General features: G+C 37.3%; 1 long non-coding RNA gene across 7 annotated transcripts in view; it reads left to right on the top strand.

The window, feature by feature from the left end:
* Positions 1-17,449, top strand: part of LOC105377989 (uncharacterized) — a 347,578-nt gene that overhangs the window by 255,821 nt on the left and 74,308 nt on the right. For 2 of the 7 annotated variants that reach the window (XR_007059745.1, XR_007059746.1), the window contains exon 5: positions 13,416-13,638. The exons of the other annotated variants lie outside the window; for them this stretch is intronic. This is a non-coding gene — a long non-coding RNA (uncharacterized LOC105377989). The remainder of the gene's footprint in view (positions 1-13,415; positions 13,639-17,449) is intronic. 7 annotated transcript variants of the gene reach the window in all.

Raw genomic sequence — 17,449 nt, 5'->3', positions numbered from 1 at the left:
ACATAAGAAGTGGTGAATGTAAAGATCTATCGACTTCAGAAAAGTCACTGTATTTCAAAAAATAAATTTCATCTTAGACAATCAATCACAAAGAATAACTGGAGATATAGTATGAATATAGTCAACAGCAATGGAGAACTATAGGAAATAGCTCATGTTTATTATACCAGGAAAACAAATTAAAATAATATGAGTGTGAAAAAATCAGAGGCTATACATTTTTTAACCTTAAGAAGGAATATCTTATGTTAATGACATATTAATAACTACAAAGTGGCTAAGCACCGTGGCTCATGCCTGTAATCCCAGCACTTTGGGAGGCCAAGGCAGGTGAATAACTTGAGCCCAGGAGTACAAGATATGCCTGGGCAACATGGTGAAACTGCATCTGTACAAAAAATACAAAAATTAGCAGGGTGTGGTGGTGTAAGCCTGTAGTCCCAGTTACTAGGGAGGCTGAGGCAGGAAAATAGCATGAGCCCAGGTTGAGGCTGCAGTGACCTGTGATTGTGCCATGGCAATCCAGCCTGGGCAACAGAGCCAGATCTTGTCTCAAAATAGTAAAAATAATAATAACCACAAAATATTGAGCATAGCATATATGTCACACATGGTGTTTTCTAAGCTATATTATGTTGTTATTTGATATAACCAAGCTAGGAAGAAATTAGTGGAAAAAATATAAGAAAAGAACAGATTGCATTCTTATAAATGATGGCCTATGTATTAGGGGATTCTATAAGAGGTAAATGTCATTGTTAGGCTGATCTGGAAAGTAATGAGAATATTTCTATAAGATACATGTGTGTACTGGTCTTATTCCTTTTTTTTCACTCATTTCTGAAATTAAGAAATAATCTTATACATAAATTCAATTCGTTGCAGGTAAAAGTATACCATTCAGAATAGAGAAGGAGAAGAAAAGATAGAAGGAAGTCACATTGTTCACCACACAAGGTTGTTGTGGAAATGTGAGGGAAGGGTCATTTATTATTGTTTTTATTTTGACTGGGCTCAGATTTTGTGCTCACTGAAAAGATACAATTGTGAGAACTTGCTCTAAAGTCCCAGCTGTTGATGGACAGGCATCCTCTCCCAAGGTAATAGGGAAGTTGTTTAAGCAACTCATATTTTTGGAAGAGGCAGTGTTTGTTGTAATTTGATCCTAACTGCAACCTATATCTCACCTGCATTCATCAATGCCAAGCCACAAAAATGCCTGGAAGGTCCAGAATGCTTGGAGCTTGTGCTCTGCATTAGTGGTATTGCGGCTGCTTCACTATGAAAGTATTGTGCCACAGAAAATATATTCTGATTCCTTATAGCAATTAAGTCCACAAACATGAAACTGAAGGTCAGTTCTCTTATCCTTGACTAACTTATGTTTTTTTGAGAGTAGAAAACTATACTACAGTAAATTCATGGGTTCATGTGGTTGTGCTGAGGGTGGGGAGGTAAGTTCAATATAAAGTCTTAATTTTTTCCCCTTTTCTGTAACACAAATGCTTTCTATCATATTTGATTTATTTAAAATAACTTTAGGCATTTCTCTTTTGTTTTATCAACTACTTACAATATTTTCATACAAAAATAATAGTAGCAATTCTTGTACATGTTAGTTAAAATAATAAGAAACTCAGAATATGATTCAGAAATGCCCAAATATTTTTTACCAGAAAAAGGAGGAAAATACTTCTTGGATTTACAAATGTAGGTATTCATTCATATACTCATTCAGTGCATTTTATGGTTGCAAATTGGTGGCAAACAATTTATTGGAAATCAAAGGGTTGAAAATAAATAAGCCATAATGCAAGCCATTAAAAAGGTCCATGGAGAGAAACAGACATTGATGCAAATGAAATTTCTGTAAAGGGAGGTGAATGCTCTAAAATAGTATGTGTTTTAAAGACAAAACTGCCCTTTTAAAGTCAATTATTTTTATATTAAACCATAGTTTTGTAGCTGTAGATTTGTCTTTTTGTTACAGTATCTAGATCTATTGGTATTCTTCCATATCATTTCCATTATCAGTATGTGTATAATGCCAACTATTGGAGGCTATCTAGTGTTATATAAAGCAGGCAACTTTGTGTAAGGAATTAATCTTGTCCTAGAGTTGACTTTATTATTTTGGCAACAGGCAAAATGATTGATTTTCGACACCTCTTCTCTGCTCTTTGTTGTGAACCAATTCTATCTTCATGGTAGGGGAAGTGAGTTAAATAAAACAACTGGTAACAAAAGGAGGCTTAGTTGTGTGTATACATTTTTTTAAATTTAGTTTTTATTTATTTATTTTTTGAGACAGGGGCTCAGTCTGTCGCCCAGGCTGGAGTGCAGTGGTGAGATCATGGCTCACTGCAGTCTCCACCTCCTAGGCTCAAATGATCCTCCCACCTCAGCCTCCCAAGTAGCTAGTACTACAGGCATGTGCCACCAAGCCTGGCTAATTTTTGTGTATTTTGTAGAGATGGCATTTTGCCATGTTGCCCAGGCTGGTCTCAAAGTTGTGGGGTCAAGGGATCCTCCTGTCTTGGACTCCCAAAGTGCTGGGATTACAGGTGTGAGCCACTGGAACTGGCTCATTTTTTTTTTCTAATATCAGCGAGAAATATTTCTTGTGGGGCCTCTTTCTTCTTTGTAATTCAATCGAAGAATTTCTTGACTCTCAAAACACTTTAGATCTTTGTCCTCATTTAGGAACTACTTTAATGCCGTATTTTACACATGGATATAGACCAACATAGATGTATATGTATTTATTCAAATGACTTTTTATTAAAAAATTAAAATGATTCGTTCTTTATTATGAAGCTTAGCCACATATTCAACACCTTTTTTTGCATCCCCAGAATTAATATATTGATAAATTTGTCATTTGGAGGTTCCAATGTTGGTTGTATTTATAAACCTAAAAATATATGAGAAATATATTTGAGGTGCAAGATATTTAAACTTTACCTTCACGCTTACTCACACATCCTGCACCTATCAGTAGGACAGAAATTCTGTGGGGGAAACAATCAAGAAAGTTATATTTCTCAGTCCATTTTCATGGAGGAGACAAAATATTAATTTTGAGTTTTCAGATTTATTATAGTATACAGCAGATGACCAGAGGCTGACTTAAGAATATTACTCAATACTCATATGTTCTGGTTTTCTCATCCATATTGTGGGGATAAGAGTTAGTGCATGTTTATGTTGAATAAATCTCTCACTTAGACTAGTGATAAGTGCAATGTAAATATCAACTAGGAAATTTTGTAACTCCACTGCTCACATATATTATTATAGAGCTTAAATCTACTCTAGGTTTTCTGTGTGCCCAATATTTCAGACACCAACTCAGTTCAAGCTTCTGAATGTTTTTATTTATTTTCAGTGATTAATAACATTTTTCTACTCCAACTCTTTCCCCCACTCTAAGTTGTACAAAGGACTTAAAAGAAATTCAGATTTGAATAAAAGCCACAAAATATACCTAATGAATAAATGCTATGATAAAAGTATAAAAGTGGAGACCCTGGGTTGCTATTTATTAGCTCTGTACCTTTGGTCAGTTTCTCAACTTTCTTGAGCCTGAACCTCTTCATACCTAAAATGCAGACCTATATCCCAAGATTTTTGGGTGAGGGTTAAAAGACATAAAACATGTGGAATTTTAGCAGAAATAAGATTGTCCGTGACCTATTTTTAATCCCATTTCCCTCCTCCTTACTGCATAAACTACTGCCTCTCAACATATACTGTAAACTGAATAAGTCAGGGAAAAATTACAATGAGTAGTTTGTCTTTATATGGAAGATATATGGAAAGAAGAGGAAGATAACCTCTTCTTTATATGGAAAAATTTAAGTAGCTTCTTGTTCTACAAAGAGTTTTGAAGCACATTTCTAAATTTAGTCCTTACAAAAACTTCATCAATTTAGCCCAAAATTGTCAAGTTTGTCTGGAGTAATGTTGAGTGAATTTTCTACCATTTAATGGAATGTGATTAAATTGAGTTGTAGAAAAAGATGAAAAGCCTTAAATGCTGGGCATTTAATTTGTGGATTCTTGGTATTCCATGCCCACCGTGTATAAAGGCATCAAAATTATGCTGTGATAGCGCACTAGTATTAACAATAAGGATAGAAGCGGTAATTGGAGTTGGTCTTGAAGCTACTCCACTCAAAGGGAAATGTGGATATAGGGTACATTTATTAGTTTGAATTTAGCTTTGCCCTGGGCACATAATGGTGGCAGGATGAAGGGAGGACTCAGGAATGAAGAGTGAACAAGAAAAGAAGAAAGGAGGAGAATATGAGAGAAGGGTCTTGAATATCTAGCAACAGGGGTTGAAAAGCAGCCTGATGCAAACAGTAAATTGGATTCTGATAATTTTCATGAGTGGCTTCAGGTAAGATTCTTTTCTTATTTTTTTTTTTTTTTTTTGAAAGGGCGGCAAATGGATTTTGTTTACGTGGTCCTTTTGATATTGCATTGTAACACATCAGCGTAACACTTCCTTCTCCTGCCACTGCAAATATGAACCTAGTAAGATATTTACAATGTTGTAGCCTGTTGTGTGGACAGAGAAGTCTGTGTTTTGGTATTTTTAAATTCTCAGACCCAGATATTTTTAGAATGCCTGGGTATATTTTCTGGAACACAATTCTTCTTTTGTTTATACCTTCTGTCTCATTGCTTCCAAATACAATTCTCACTGCATTTTTTTTTTCCATAGTCTTTTCTATTGGATAAGAATATGGATAAAGTTAAGGTTTCACCTCAAATCCTTTTTCTTTTCTTTAATGTGGTGATGGCATCATGCCAGACATTGACAGCCTGGTGGTCTATGTTTACTTTTTACTCAATCTTGAAGTGCTGAATAAACCTGGATCAGTTCTGCTAAAAGGCATTTAAAACCAGGTGGAAGTCTCAATCTAGGAAAAGACAAGGGCGTTCCCTGGAGAACAAAGGCCTGATCCCATCCACCATGGGATGGGTGGAGTGAGTAGCTGTAAAGGAAAAAGTAGCTATTGGAAGTATTTGTTAAATAATGACTGATTGAGTAAATATTGATTGAGAACCTCTGTGCATTGTTATGGGCACTGAGTGTTTCAGTGTTGAAAACGAAAAGATTGAACCCCTGTCCCTATGTCTCTAGGGGAGAAAAAGACCATAATCATGTAGATAATAAACAAATAATGTACTTTCAGATCAAAGTAAGAGGTGCTATGAGGAAAATAAACAGAATAAATAATTAGAGGACTATTTTAGAATGAAAGATCAGGGGAGACCTCTCTGAGATCACACTTAAGTACAGATGAAAACAAAAAGAAGGAAACAGCGATTCGAGATCTTGGGGAAAAGCATTCCAGGCAGACCAAATAGCAAACCCTAAGGATTAAGGTAGAAATCAGCTTCATGTATTTGAAGACACCCACTGTCAGGACCTGATAAGAAATGAGGTTGGGTGATACGGGGCCAGGGTATCCAGGACTTTCAGATTAGAATAAAGAATTCGGGTTTTCTTTTAAATGTTAGAGGAAGTCTCAAAACTAAGTTTTAGCAGGAAGATAATTCAATCTAATTTTTTTAAGGAGGAGATACTGGCTTCTCTTTGGAGAATGAAATGAAGTGGCATAGGAGTGGGACCAGAGAGATCATTAAAGAGGCCATGAGAATAGTAAAGGTGATAGCACTGTAGACTTGGACAGCAATTATGCAAATAGTGAGAAATTGTCTAATTTAGAAGATATTTTAAAATTCAGAGCAGCTAAGACTTTCTGATGAATTAGATGTGAGAGATGAGGGAAAGAGAGGAATCACTGATAGCTAGTGGTTTCTTGGACTAAGCAACTTTGTGAAAATATGGTACGTTTTACTGAGAAGGAGATTATAGAAGGAGCAGGTTGAGATCAATTGTAGATCAAAATTCTGTTTTAGACCTTTTAAGTTTGAAGTGCTTACTAAGCAACCAGTAGATAAGAAATAGCTGCACTTTCTCCTCCTAGGTGTTTGTAAGTGCTCTCTATATAGTAACACATTTAATCTTTATAGCAACTTTGCAATATTTGTAATATTATTATCATCATCATCTCCATTTTAAAGATAAGGAAGCTGGGACACAGAAAGGTTGAATACTTAGCTAAGAAGACACTAATATGGCAGGAAGTCTGGCTTCAGGAGTTTATGCTCTTAACCACTGAGAAATATTCTTTTTAGATGGATCTGCCAACCAGACATTGGGGCAAAGGAAATCTTATTCTTTTTAATAGAAAATAGGTGAATAAATGTAACAATTATATATACGGAAGAAATTCTCCAACAAAAATATAAAATTACCAAAGTGATGCATTAATTTAAAAATTATTATCTTATTCATTTTATGAAACATTCAATTTTGGTACCCAAACTCAGAAAGTCCAAAAAATTATATAATTTAGCTTCATTTATGAGTATTTTTGGAAAATTATATATAAAATTTTAAAATAGAACACATCTTGTTGAAATAATTATCCACTGTGAAGATACAGGATTTGTTCTAAGAAACAGACTCGTATAACATGAAGAAAACCATTAGCAAACTCTAATGCATTCACAAGAAAAATAATAAACATGTCAATCACTGATTAAAAAGCCAACAGGATCACATATTGTATATGATGTTATATGAATAGAGAATTTTCTCAACATTTAAAACCAGATACATGGAAGTCTGCTTGAGTAGGAACTATAGATGGTTCAATCTAATAAAAAGAAGGGATTCAAAATCAAGGAGATTCTCAAGTACCATGCTAAAGACTTTGGATTTTACTCTGGGAGGTAAAGTTGACTGATCAATAACAGGCTCTATTATAAGAGGAGAGGCCTAGAGAGTAAACAAATAGTCCTCAGTGAGCAGTCAAACCAAACAGATAGCAACTCACGGGAGTGGAACAGATCTGCTTAGCTGGGAAGGGGAAAGAAAAGGGGAAGGGTTTTCATCCCAAAGAAAAGTATCACAGATTGGGCTAAAGTCAATAATCTCCCAGAGATTAAGATATCCTGGCAGTTAAAAAATGCCTAAGATAAGTAAATAACTATCATGCTCTGCCCTGATGGAATTAGAAGTGTTATATCAACTTTACACTGGCTAAAAGGAATTGCTGGAATGGATTGCCAGAAAGCAGAGCATATTTAAGAAGGCACAAAAATCTTTGCTCCTGACCTCAATACTTTGATATGTATATTTTAAAACCAACTAAACTAAATATATATAAGTTTATATGTTAAACTATATTAAACTAATATTTATATGCTAACCAAATATGTATATAAAATATATATAACATATATAACTAAATACATATATAAAACATATATATTTAGTTTAGTTGTTTATAAACATATTTTGACTCAATGTATATAAATTGAGTCAAAATATGCACTGGGCTGAGAACCAACTAACTATTGATGAGCTAAACAAATTTCATTACCGATGCCAGTATCCTGCAAGTAAGGGTCGTACTTGACCATCACTGATCATGAGAAGAACGCCATGATATTCAGTATCATATGAATGTGAAACACAGACTGAAGTCTTTTGGAATAGGAATAATTTCTGACACCCAAACTGGAATTCCATCTCTGGTTTACTACTTAATTCTCCTTCTTAAGGGAGATAGAATAAATGAAGAAAATAAAGGCTCTTACCTCCCCTCCTCTGCCTTCATTACCCCTTTTCACTACACACACACACAACACAGTACACCAAGAACAAGTTAATAGATGTATAGGCAACCAAACTCTGATTTACTAAAATATTTAGTCTTTGGACAAATAGTCACCCTTTCTTAGTATAAGAAAGTTTGGAAATCTTTTACATTCAAGTTGAGCTTAACGACTTAAATCATATCTTCAACACAATGAGAAAGATATCTCAGCAAACCCTATCTGTTCTAGAGTGGTGCACTGATTTCTCAACCTTCCTTCTCTCCATTGATCTATTTCTATCTAATATAAACCACTCTTCTCTCATAAATGGAGATGAATGTATGTGTAATTGAGAAAGATCATAAAGAATTTGGAAAAATGTAAATAGATTTTGTCTTCTTTATAAACATTGGTTAAAGTTGCCTAAGTTCAAATGTTACTGGAAGAACTAGTCTTCTGTCCTGCCTCTCCCTCATTCCTTTATCTTAGGAATTTGAAGAGGGAAATAAATCCTATACTGTGACCTCCTGCTTCCGAAGATATAATGAGTTAGGGAGATGGATGCCTGCCTAATAATTTGACCTTGAATTTCAAAAATTTTGACTTTGATTCCAGCTAACTTTTATATAACTAAAAAAAATATGTAATTTTGTTATTTGTCATGGGACTTTAATGGATCCAATTTCTTTTGCTTCACTAAGGGTTGGCATTATTGTCTGGAAAGAAGACATGGAAATGGAAATGTTTTATATAATAATATAAACTGCTATAGACATTGTTCACAGATATTGGTGCATATTATATTCACAAAAAAGTGCTTCTCTCTCCTGCTATGGACCTAGGTTGCAATATTTTTGAGATTATTGTTTGTCCTTGGGAGGTGTGTGTGTCTCTGTGTGTGTGTGTCAGTGAGTATCCATATAACTTGTGTAAATAGGAAAAAATTCCAAAATATATCATTCAGGAACCTTTGGATTGTGAGTGACAGGAAATCAATTCAAATTGGCTAATGTGGAAAAAAAAATACTTTGCTCTCACACTGAAAATTTCAGCAGTACCAGCTTTGATCATGGCTGGATCCAAGGGTCTCAAATTCCATCATTAGAGCCAGTCTGTCTTCACACTTCAGCCCTGCTTTCCTCTCGGTTGTCCTCATTTTTATGCTTTTATGGTGCCTGATGGCAGTTCAGACTCACTTCATCCTCTCTGCTAGCTGTCTTAGGACAGACACACACAGACACACAGACACACACACACACACACACACACACACACACACCCCAACCTGTCTTTTCTAGTTGCTCCAAAAAAAAAATTCCTGGGATTACTTAGATTAAAGAGTGATTAACCAATCATCATGGCCAGAACACAATACCAATTGTCCAGATCTGGGTCATGAGCTCACCTCTGAGTCCAGGGGTTGGGCCAGCCCCACCTAAACCACAAGGAATGGAAATATATAGGGCTGATATCCAAGGAAATTCAAGTCACTATCACAAGTATAAGGAGAATAATTCTGGGTGTGCAAAAACAACACACATCCACCCAGTAACCTAGGCTGGCTTCTCTTCACACGGGCTGAGGGGCCTAGATGGTAATCAGACTTTAAGCTGCAGAACCCATTATAGGCTATTTTCTGCAGGCCCCTCTCCTTCCAAATCCAACTCCCACTCCCTGCTCTTATAGACTTGCCTTGGATTCTCTATCTCAGTCTTTGGGAAAGGCCCTGTGGAATGATCACTGTATCCCAGAAGTGCCCAGATTGAAAAAAGGCCATGGGTAAAACCAACCCATGAGAGTATTCAGCAAGTTTTTTTTTTTCCTAGAGCATTTTACTTGGAACAGTCTCCAAAACTGCAGCAGAATCCATAACACATAAACTTTGTGGTTGAGTATTAATGGGAGCAAAGTGACAGGTCAGTGATAGAAAGTGTGGCCCTTCCGGTACTAGTGCTATACCACCAGGGAAGACCCAAGCCCAGGTCGTAAACAGCAGTGAACAGAGTCGTGACCAAAGGCCATGCTGAAAGCAAGGCAGAGTGGAACACATGACATGGGCAGCACTGCCAAGTCAATGACTCAGGAGGAGACACGAGACAAACTTTCTTACCCTTTATTTTCCAAATAAACTAGAAGGTGACCCTTAGATGCAAGAGGCTGACATTTCAGTTACACAATAATAAAAACCAAAAAATTAGAAACAACAGCAAAAGGTACAATGTGTTATTATTTTCATATGAGAAAACTGGGATGGAATGACAATTTCACAGTGACTATTTTAAGCTGTGAAGACATAGCACAATATTGCCAAGTGATTTGGCATTTTAATAGTTTACAATCAAATGTTGATTAAAAATCAGAAGCTTGGGCCGCCTTGCATGAACATTTTTTTCATCTGCTCTTCAGATGTAACTTTTCTATTCCTGCTACCCTCATTCAATATTGTAATTATGAGTTTTCTAGACTACGCCAATTAAAATTAGTTTGGGGCCAAGTGGACAGACAATTGAAGAACTTGGTGGAAAGTATAAAAGATGTTAACAAAAACTATGGATGTAACTGTGAAATAATAGTCACTCGCATTTAAAATCCACAGAGCTCTTTATGTACACATGAGTGTATGGGGAGGTGGGATGGTGGGAGAGTTTAGGAAATCAAATTAAGCTTAACCTTGGCACTTGGGGAGTTTCTAACACTCAGATACAGATTTAAATGTAAAAGAACCTTTATGCAAATGCGTACTAAACAGAACAAGTGATGTATCAGGGAAAGCACAAATGTAAGGACATTTTTATGTTGCTTTGCAATCATCAGTTGAATTTTAATATAAAGGCTTCAGTAAATGTCTGTCTTTCTGGCAGCCTGAGGGATTATCGGTAACAGGATTATCACTTTATTTTTCTCTGTGAACTCCTTCCGGGTCAAACAAAGAGCCTCTGGGCTTCTTTCACTGGTGTATCTGTACACACCAGGAACTGATCATAGACAATCTGTTGAATCTTGGGCCTGACTAATGTGAACAAATAGAAAATAATCAAACTTCCAGAGAAATTGTTGATGATTTCCAGCCATCATTAATGTTCAGTGCTCCCTTGGATTTTGGCCACGTTCTCACCTTTAATCACTGGACACCCTGAGTATAATGCACCACACCTGGGACTGGGGATAATTTACCACTTGCAGATGGGTTAGTACTGCAGTTCAGTCAGACAGAGTTTTGCATTTATTCTGGGTCCCAGAGGTCTTCCTTTTATAAAGTGCAGTTATATCCACTAAAATTATAACTTCCAAAATTCTGTTCTGTTTTATTGCTCTCGTGAAATATTTATGACCTCTACTGCTTAAGTGGACATTTTTAGAGATTTACTGCTGAAAGCTTTCAGGAGAACTGCACAAAATTGGTGCTGCTGGTACTGACCTATTAGGCTAAGGTTCTGTAAGAACTTTTTTATAAGATGCCAACAGAAAGTATATTGAGTTTTAGTTTCTGTAACTTAAAAGCAGATCATGTTGAAATGTGGACATTTTATTTTGTGTAGCATCACTATCCAGTAGACTTCCTTAATAAGCACATCACATTATGCAAACTAAGTGTTGATATTATTTTTCTCCTAGTATAACTCAATTTTAGGTAGCCAGAGACTGAGTTACTTCCTAATATATTAGGAAATCAGTTAATTGTGCATTTCTGCATTTTTTGGTGCTTGGATTCAAATAAGACCTTTTTGGGTAATTTCTTGTCCACTTTTCATATCAGTTTCCTTTTCTGCTAAGCTATTCGGTGTTCTTATATGGCCTGGCAGATAAAGTTTCCAGGGAGTGTTACTGGGGTGAGTCCCAGGAAAACACGAGCAAAGAATTCTCTGTCTCTTTCTGCCAGATAGAAGGATTTTGCACAAGCTAGAGTGGAATATATGAGAAAAGAGTATTTGTTTCAACCATACTGCAACTCTCCGCCTGAGCAGAGACTAAGACTGGCTAGAGGAAAGCTGATCCCTTTCCACACTCTGTCACCAGAGAATAAATAACTGGCCATGTCTTGTGAGATTCTCAGCATTTCCTGGGCCATTGATACCTGGTTTGACACTTCCATGGGCACAAAAAGCCCACACCGTACTCTTGTTCTGAATACACAGATATAGGTACAACTAAGAATATTAGAAAAGCATGCTTGTTCTTCAGGGTTTGTGACCCTTTACAGGCTAAAAAAGGTGACAAACATACACACACACACACATGCATACAGGTCTGGCCATCTATACCAATGCAGTATACATGCAATTTTCAATAAAGCAACTTAAAAAAGTACATCTAACAGTAGTGTCTAAGTTATGTTTTATGTTTTACTGACACTATTAGCTATGACATGAGAAAATCCAATAACAGACCCCTATCCTCTTTAGTAACTTAGTGACACCACTAGCCACTCAGCAGTCCCAGCCTGGAGACTGAAAATGGACCTTCCAGATGCTCAGGTCACCCCAGGCCGTTCTCCATGCTGCATGGATTCTCTGCCTTCCCCGGAACCAGAAACAGGAACTTCCAAGTATCTCTCATTTAGTCACACTAGGGAGGATGGTGGGAGGAGAAGAGAGATGAAAGAGACATATTAAACCTATTTGGGCACATGATTTCTCAACGGCCCCACATCCTCCTCCACGTCTTCTGCCTTCACCCACACTCCCTCTATTACAGCCATAAGGAACTATTGCTTCCAGAACACATCATGCTTCTGCAAGCCTCAGACCCTCTGAAATATGGTTTATTTTAGGCTGAGGAGTACCTCGTTGTCCTTAGAGACTTACTGGAGTGTCAAATCCTCTGGGAAAATGTCCCCGATTACCCAGGCAGAACTAGTCATTCTTCTCTTTCAGCAACCCTAATACTTATGATCACTAACTCGATTGTAATGTTTCTGTATCCTTATAAAGTTTCTTCCACCAAACCACAAACCCTTGTGTCTTTTTTTTTTTTTTTTTTCCATCCTGGTAATCACCTTTCCCTTCTCCAGGCCCAATGTCTAATAGAATGATTGCTTTGCCCAGAGAAAGTGCTACATAGTGGCATATTGAATTAATGCATGAAGGATAAAATGACTGAAGTACTAAAGGAAGGGAAAGATTAGGGAAAGATTACACCTACTCACCAGCACCCAGCCATAAATCTGAATCGGATGAGCAGCTTTAGAATGCCTGGAGGGTGGTTGATGAGAAGTAGCTAAAAGATACTGGGGCTAGTAAAGCCCTTTCACTCTTTCACTTTCTGCTTTTTTTTTTTCCTCCTCTTACTCAACTCTTTTTTTTTTTTTTTTTTTTTTTTTGAGACAGAGTCTCGCTCTTTTGACTAGGCTGGAGTGAAGCGGTGCTATCTCGGCTCACTGCAATCTTTACCCCCGGGTTCAAACGATTCTCCTGCCTCAGCCTCCCTAGTAGCTGGGATTACTGGCGCCTGCCACCACACCTGGCTAATTTTTGTATTTTTAGTAGAGACAAGGTTTCGCCCTGTTGGCCAGGTTGGTCTCGAACTCCTGACCTCAGGTGATCTGCCCGCCTCGGCCTTCCAAAGTGTTAGGATTATAGGCATGAGCCACCGAGCCTGGCCTTCCTCTTAACTCTTAACCTTAATGCTGTCTTATTTCTAAGCCCATTTTCCCTGTATTCTTTCCCCTTTTTTCTCTGTGTGAGATCTCTAGATTCTTCCTCTGTCTTCCTGCATGTTTACATTTGCAGACAACTCCAGGAAGGAAATTGGTAGACTCAACGTCCAGGGAACCTACGAATCTGCTATCCCAAGCCTTCTGCCCCCAAACACTTCACCCTGAAATACAGCCCAGAGCATGCACTCAGTGAGTCCCACTGAAGAAGAGACGGAAGGCAGAACTGAACAAGATGTGTCCAGAAGAGGTAGCCATAGATCATGGACATGACCAAAAGAAGCTTACTTTATTTTCAAGTAAGTTCCCAAGCCATTATGTCTTAGCCTGATTTTCTTGTGGGTGCACGTAATGCTGATGATGTGAAGTTTAACCATTAAATGATCCATTATAATAGATTAAATTTAAATGACCATTAAAATGCCATGCAGTTTTAAAATAAAATCATTAATATTTATACCTAATGTTGGCCAGAAAAAAATACTAAGTGAGAAATAATAATGTAAGCTAACAATTTAGGGGAGTTTACTACGTGTCCAGCACTATTCTAGGTGTTATTATCACAATCCAGTGGGGAGGTATAGTTATTTCTCCATTTACAATAAGGGAACTGAGGTAGAGAGAGGAGTCAAGTAAGTTGCCAGAGCTCATGGAGCGAGTAGGTAGTGGAGGTGGGTTTCAAGTATCAGCAGTTTAGCTCCCGAGTCTGCCGTCTTAAATCCATGCAGCCTCTTCAAAAATTAATAAAAAGCATTTCTTTTTGAGATGGAGTCTCGCTCTGTCACCCAGGCTGCGGTGCAATGGCATGATCTCGGTTCACTACAACCTCCGCCCCCCGGGTTCAAGTGAATGGCCTGCCTCAGCCTCCTGAGTAGCTAAATTTTGATATAGTAGTATAAATGCAATGCTAGCAAATTAATTTCTTATTTATGCATAACTGCCTAGAAGCATATCATGATGTAGGTACCAAATAAGCTACTGCATTTGTAATTTTATTGAATAACAAAATCCATATTTCAATAACCAGTGTTCATGATTCGAAGTTGATGCTACACACTTTCTTAGCTCAGCCAGCCTTCATGTTTCACATTTTATAATTACTAAAATTAATGAATAAAAATCATTGGTTAATGGTTTCTTAAAAATAAAACTTAAAACTCTGGCATTTCTGATTCCAGATTTTTTCTTTCTTCATGGTCACAAAACCATGCCCTAGGACATGCTTAATATATTGTTCAGCTTCTGGACAGGGGTGAAGATCTTTCCCCTAAGTATTGAAAAACTTGTAACTTTAAATGACTGCGCAGGGGTACAGAATTATGCCTGAGGGATTCCATATAGTTTTAAGGAAGACTACTGAGGTAGCCTTAAAAATAATAGCTAAATTATATTTAGTGTTTCTTATGTACCAGGGACTGTTCTAAATTATCTTTAAATTCTCTCAAAATTCTAAGAAATAGGTACCAGTGTTATCCCCATTTTACAGATGGGGAAATTGAGGCAAGGAGAAGTAATTTGCCCAGTGTCGTATAAGAATGGCAAAGTCAGGAAAAGTATTGGAACACAGTCTTTGCTCCAACCACTGTGTGTGCTGCTTCACTATGCTGCATGACAAACTTTTTGTAGTCAGAAAAACTTTTTACCCCAAGACATTTCATTAGTTAAACAAATGGCCAAAGTTAGATCTCAGAATCTGGGAGTCTTTATTCTCTGGAGTAACTTTCAGCATCCCAGTATCATCTATTGGCAAGCAACCAGCATTTTACACAATCTTCCAGGAGACTCTGAATATTAAAACATGAAGCTTTGCATTTGGTAAAATTTTAAATGTCTAATTTCTTCCTCTCTTGGAGTGAATCACAGGTTGATAGACTACTGATATTCCGAGGTACTTTTTCATCAATTTTATTGCAATTAAGGAGTCCATGGTAAAGTGTTCAGATTCAGAAAATATCTTTAAATCAAATATCATTCGTATGGGAAATATTCGTAGGCACACATCTTTAATTTTGATAAAAAAGATGTAGGCTTCAGTGGGGTGCAGTGGGAATGAACCAGGGTAATCCATAAAGACTCCATGCTTGATACCCTAAAAGTAGCCATCCTTTCAGTGAGGAGAAGCAACTCCCCCTAACTTCTTACTTTATTCTCCCTCTCAACTTCATCTGGCTGTTAATCTCACCCTACTCCTGGTCTTTAATCTTGTTCTAGCATGGGGGTGGAAAAAGTAATCTTTGTTAGTAGAAAGTCCCAAAACCCCACAACAACAGGAGTTCTGTGGACAATGTGAGGAACTGGGAATTCTTGGAAAGATGGGGAAAAAATAGGACGTTTTTAGGATGAATAAGATGCAACCATTTACATGGTTTCAAGTTAGTGGATGAGGAGACAAAAATTTTTTTAAGCTAAAAAAGCAGATTAGTTAAAAATGGATGTAAAAAGAAAAAATGAACAGAACGATCATGAGAAAAAAAGAGGAGAAATATTGCAGGAGGACGATTAAATATAAAAACTATGGAAAAATGAGAGAAGAGGATTAAAGTACAACACAAAAGATTCAAAAGAGGAAAGATTTTCAGTCATAGGCATCTAGTGTTTCAAAGTTGATTTCTGCATGTGCAGGAGAGCTAGATGACTGAGGACTGTACGGTATGTAAGACACCCTCTGTTAGAAAGATTCTCATCCTCTTAAGTTGGCCACAGAAACAGAATTAATGGGCTTGCTGCACCTCTGAGACACCTTTTGTCTCATTCATATTTGCACAAAAGCTAGAAAAAATATATTGGCAAGGACTTCTTAGAGCTTCGTGCTTACTGTGGGTTTGTGCAGGTTAAGAAGGCTGTCTCTGGGGTCTCGCACAGAAACCTGGATGAAAGCAGCTACTGGGAATTTGGCCAAGAGCAAGGTTTATAAGGTTCCAGTGTAGGACATGGGATCTATGCTATTCTACTTGATTAGTGCAATCAGGGAGGTTACCAAGAAAGTTTGCATTTATAGATCTCTGTTGGTGTCATTTGACACTATTTTATTGGGGTTCTTATTTGAGTGTTTTTATCTGTGATGAGGTATAAAGTATGTATTTCATATATGAATTTTCATCTAGGTAAGTTCATCCTTATATAAGCAAAGCCAGCTAACCCAGAACATTTTTCTTGTCCTTGGCTAGTTTATGATACTATTTGTGTTAGTTATCTCATTCTAACTATAGACTGGGTGGGTTAAACAACAGAAATGAATTTCTTAATAGTTGTGATGGCTGGAAGTCTGAGATCAGGGTGCCAGCATGGTCAAGGGCTGGTAAGGACTCTCTTCCTGGCTTATGGATGACTGCCATCTCTCTCTGGTGTCTCTTCTTTTAAAAGCATTAATTCCATCATGAGGGCCCCCTTATGACCGCAGCTAAACCTAATTACTTCCCAAAGGCTCCATCTCCAAAAGCCATCATAGTGGCAGTTAGGGCTTCACCATGTGAATTTGGAGGAACACAATTTCAGTCCATAGCTCTACTCTTAGGAGTGTCATCTCCCTCCCTGCCCTATCATGTCCATAAAACTTACTGAATGAAGGTGCGGTAGTTATTCACTATTATATTATTTGGAATGGTAGGACTACAGACAGACTCGAGAACAATGTTTTCTTTAAACCAAGAAATATTTATAGAGTCAAAAAGTGTAAGCTCTTCCCTTGAAGAGTGAGTTCTGCCATGTCAGCAAGAGTCCAAGCAGTATATGCCTTCCAATGTATCTCAAAACATTTTTTTTCTTTTTATTCTGTGCTAGCAACAATGGTTTACACAGAACTTTGTATTTTGTCGCATTTTATTTGGAGCATTACAATGCAACATCATTGATAAATCTCTGAGGATAGTTGACCTTTGAGGTCATTGATGGGCATATTCTATGAGTCAATAAATTAATAGAATACCAGGCCAGGCATGGTGGCTCACGCTTGTAATCCTAGCACTTTGGGAGGCTAAGGCGGCAAGATCACAAGGTCGGGAGATTGAGACCATCCTGGCCAAAATGGTGAAACCCCGTCTCTACTAAAAATACAAAAAAATTAGCTGGGCACGGTGGCACACGCCTGTAGTCCCAGCTGCTCAGGAGGAG

This window comes from Homo sapiens, chromosome 6 (genome assembly GCF_000001405.40).
Source record: "Homo sapiens chromosome 6, GRCh38.p14 Primary Assembly".
Classification (NCBI taxonomy): domain Eukaryota; kingdom Metazoa; phylum Chordata; class Mammalia; order Primates; family Hominidae; genus Homo; species Homo sapiens.
Note: the sequence above shows the minus strand (reverse complement) of the source record. Positions and strands in the feature narration are given on the sequence as shown.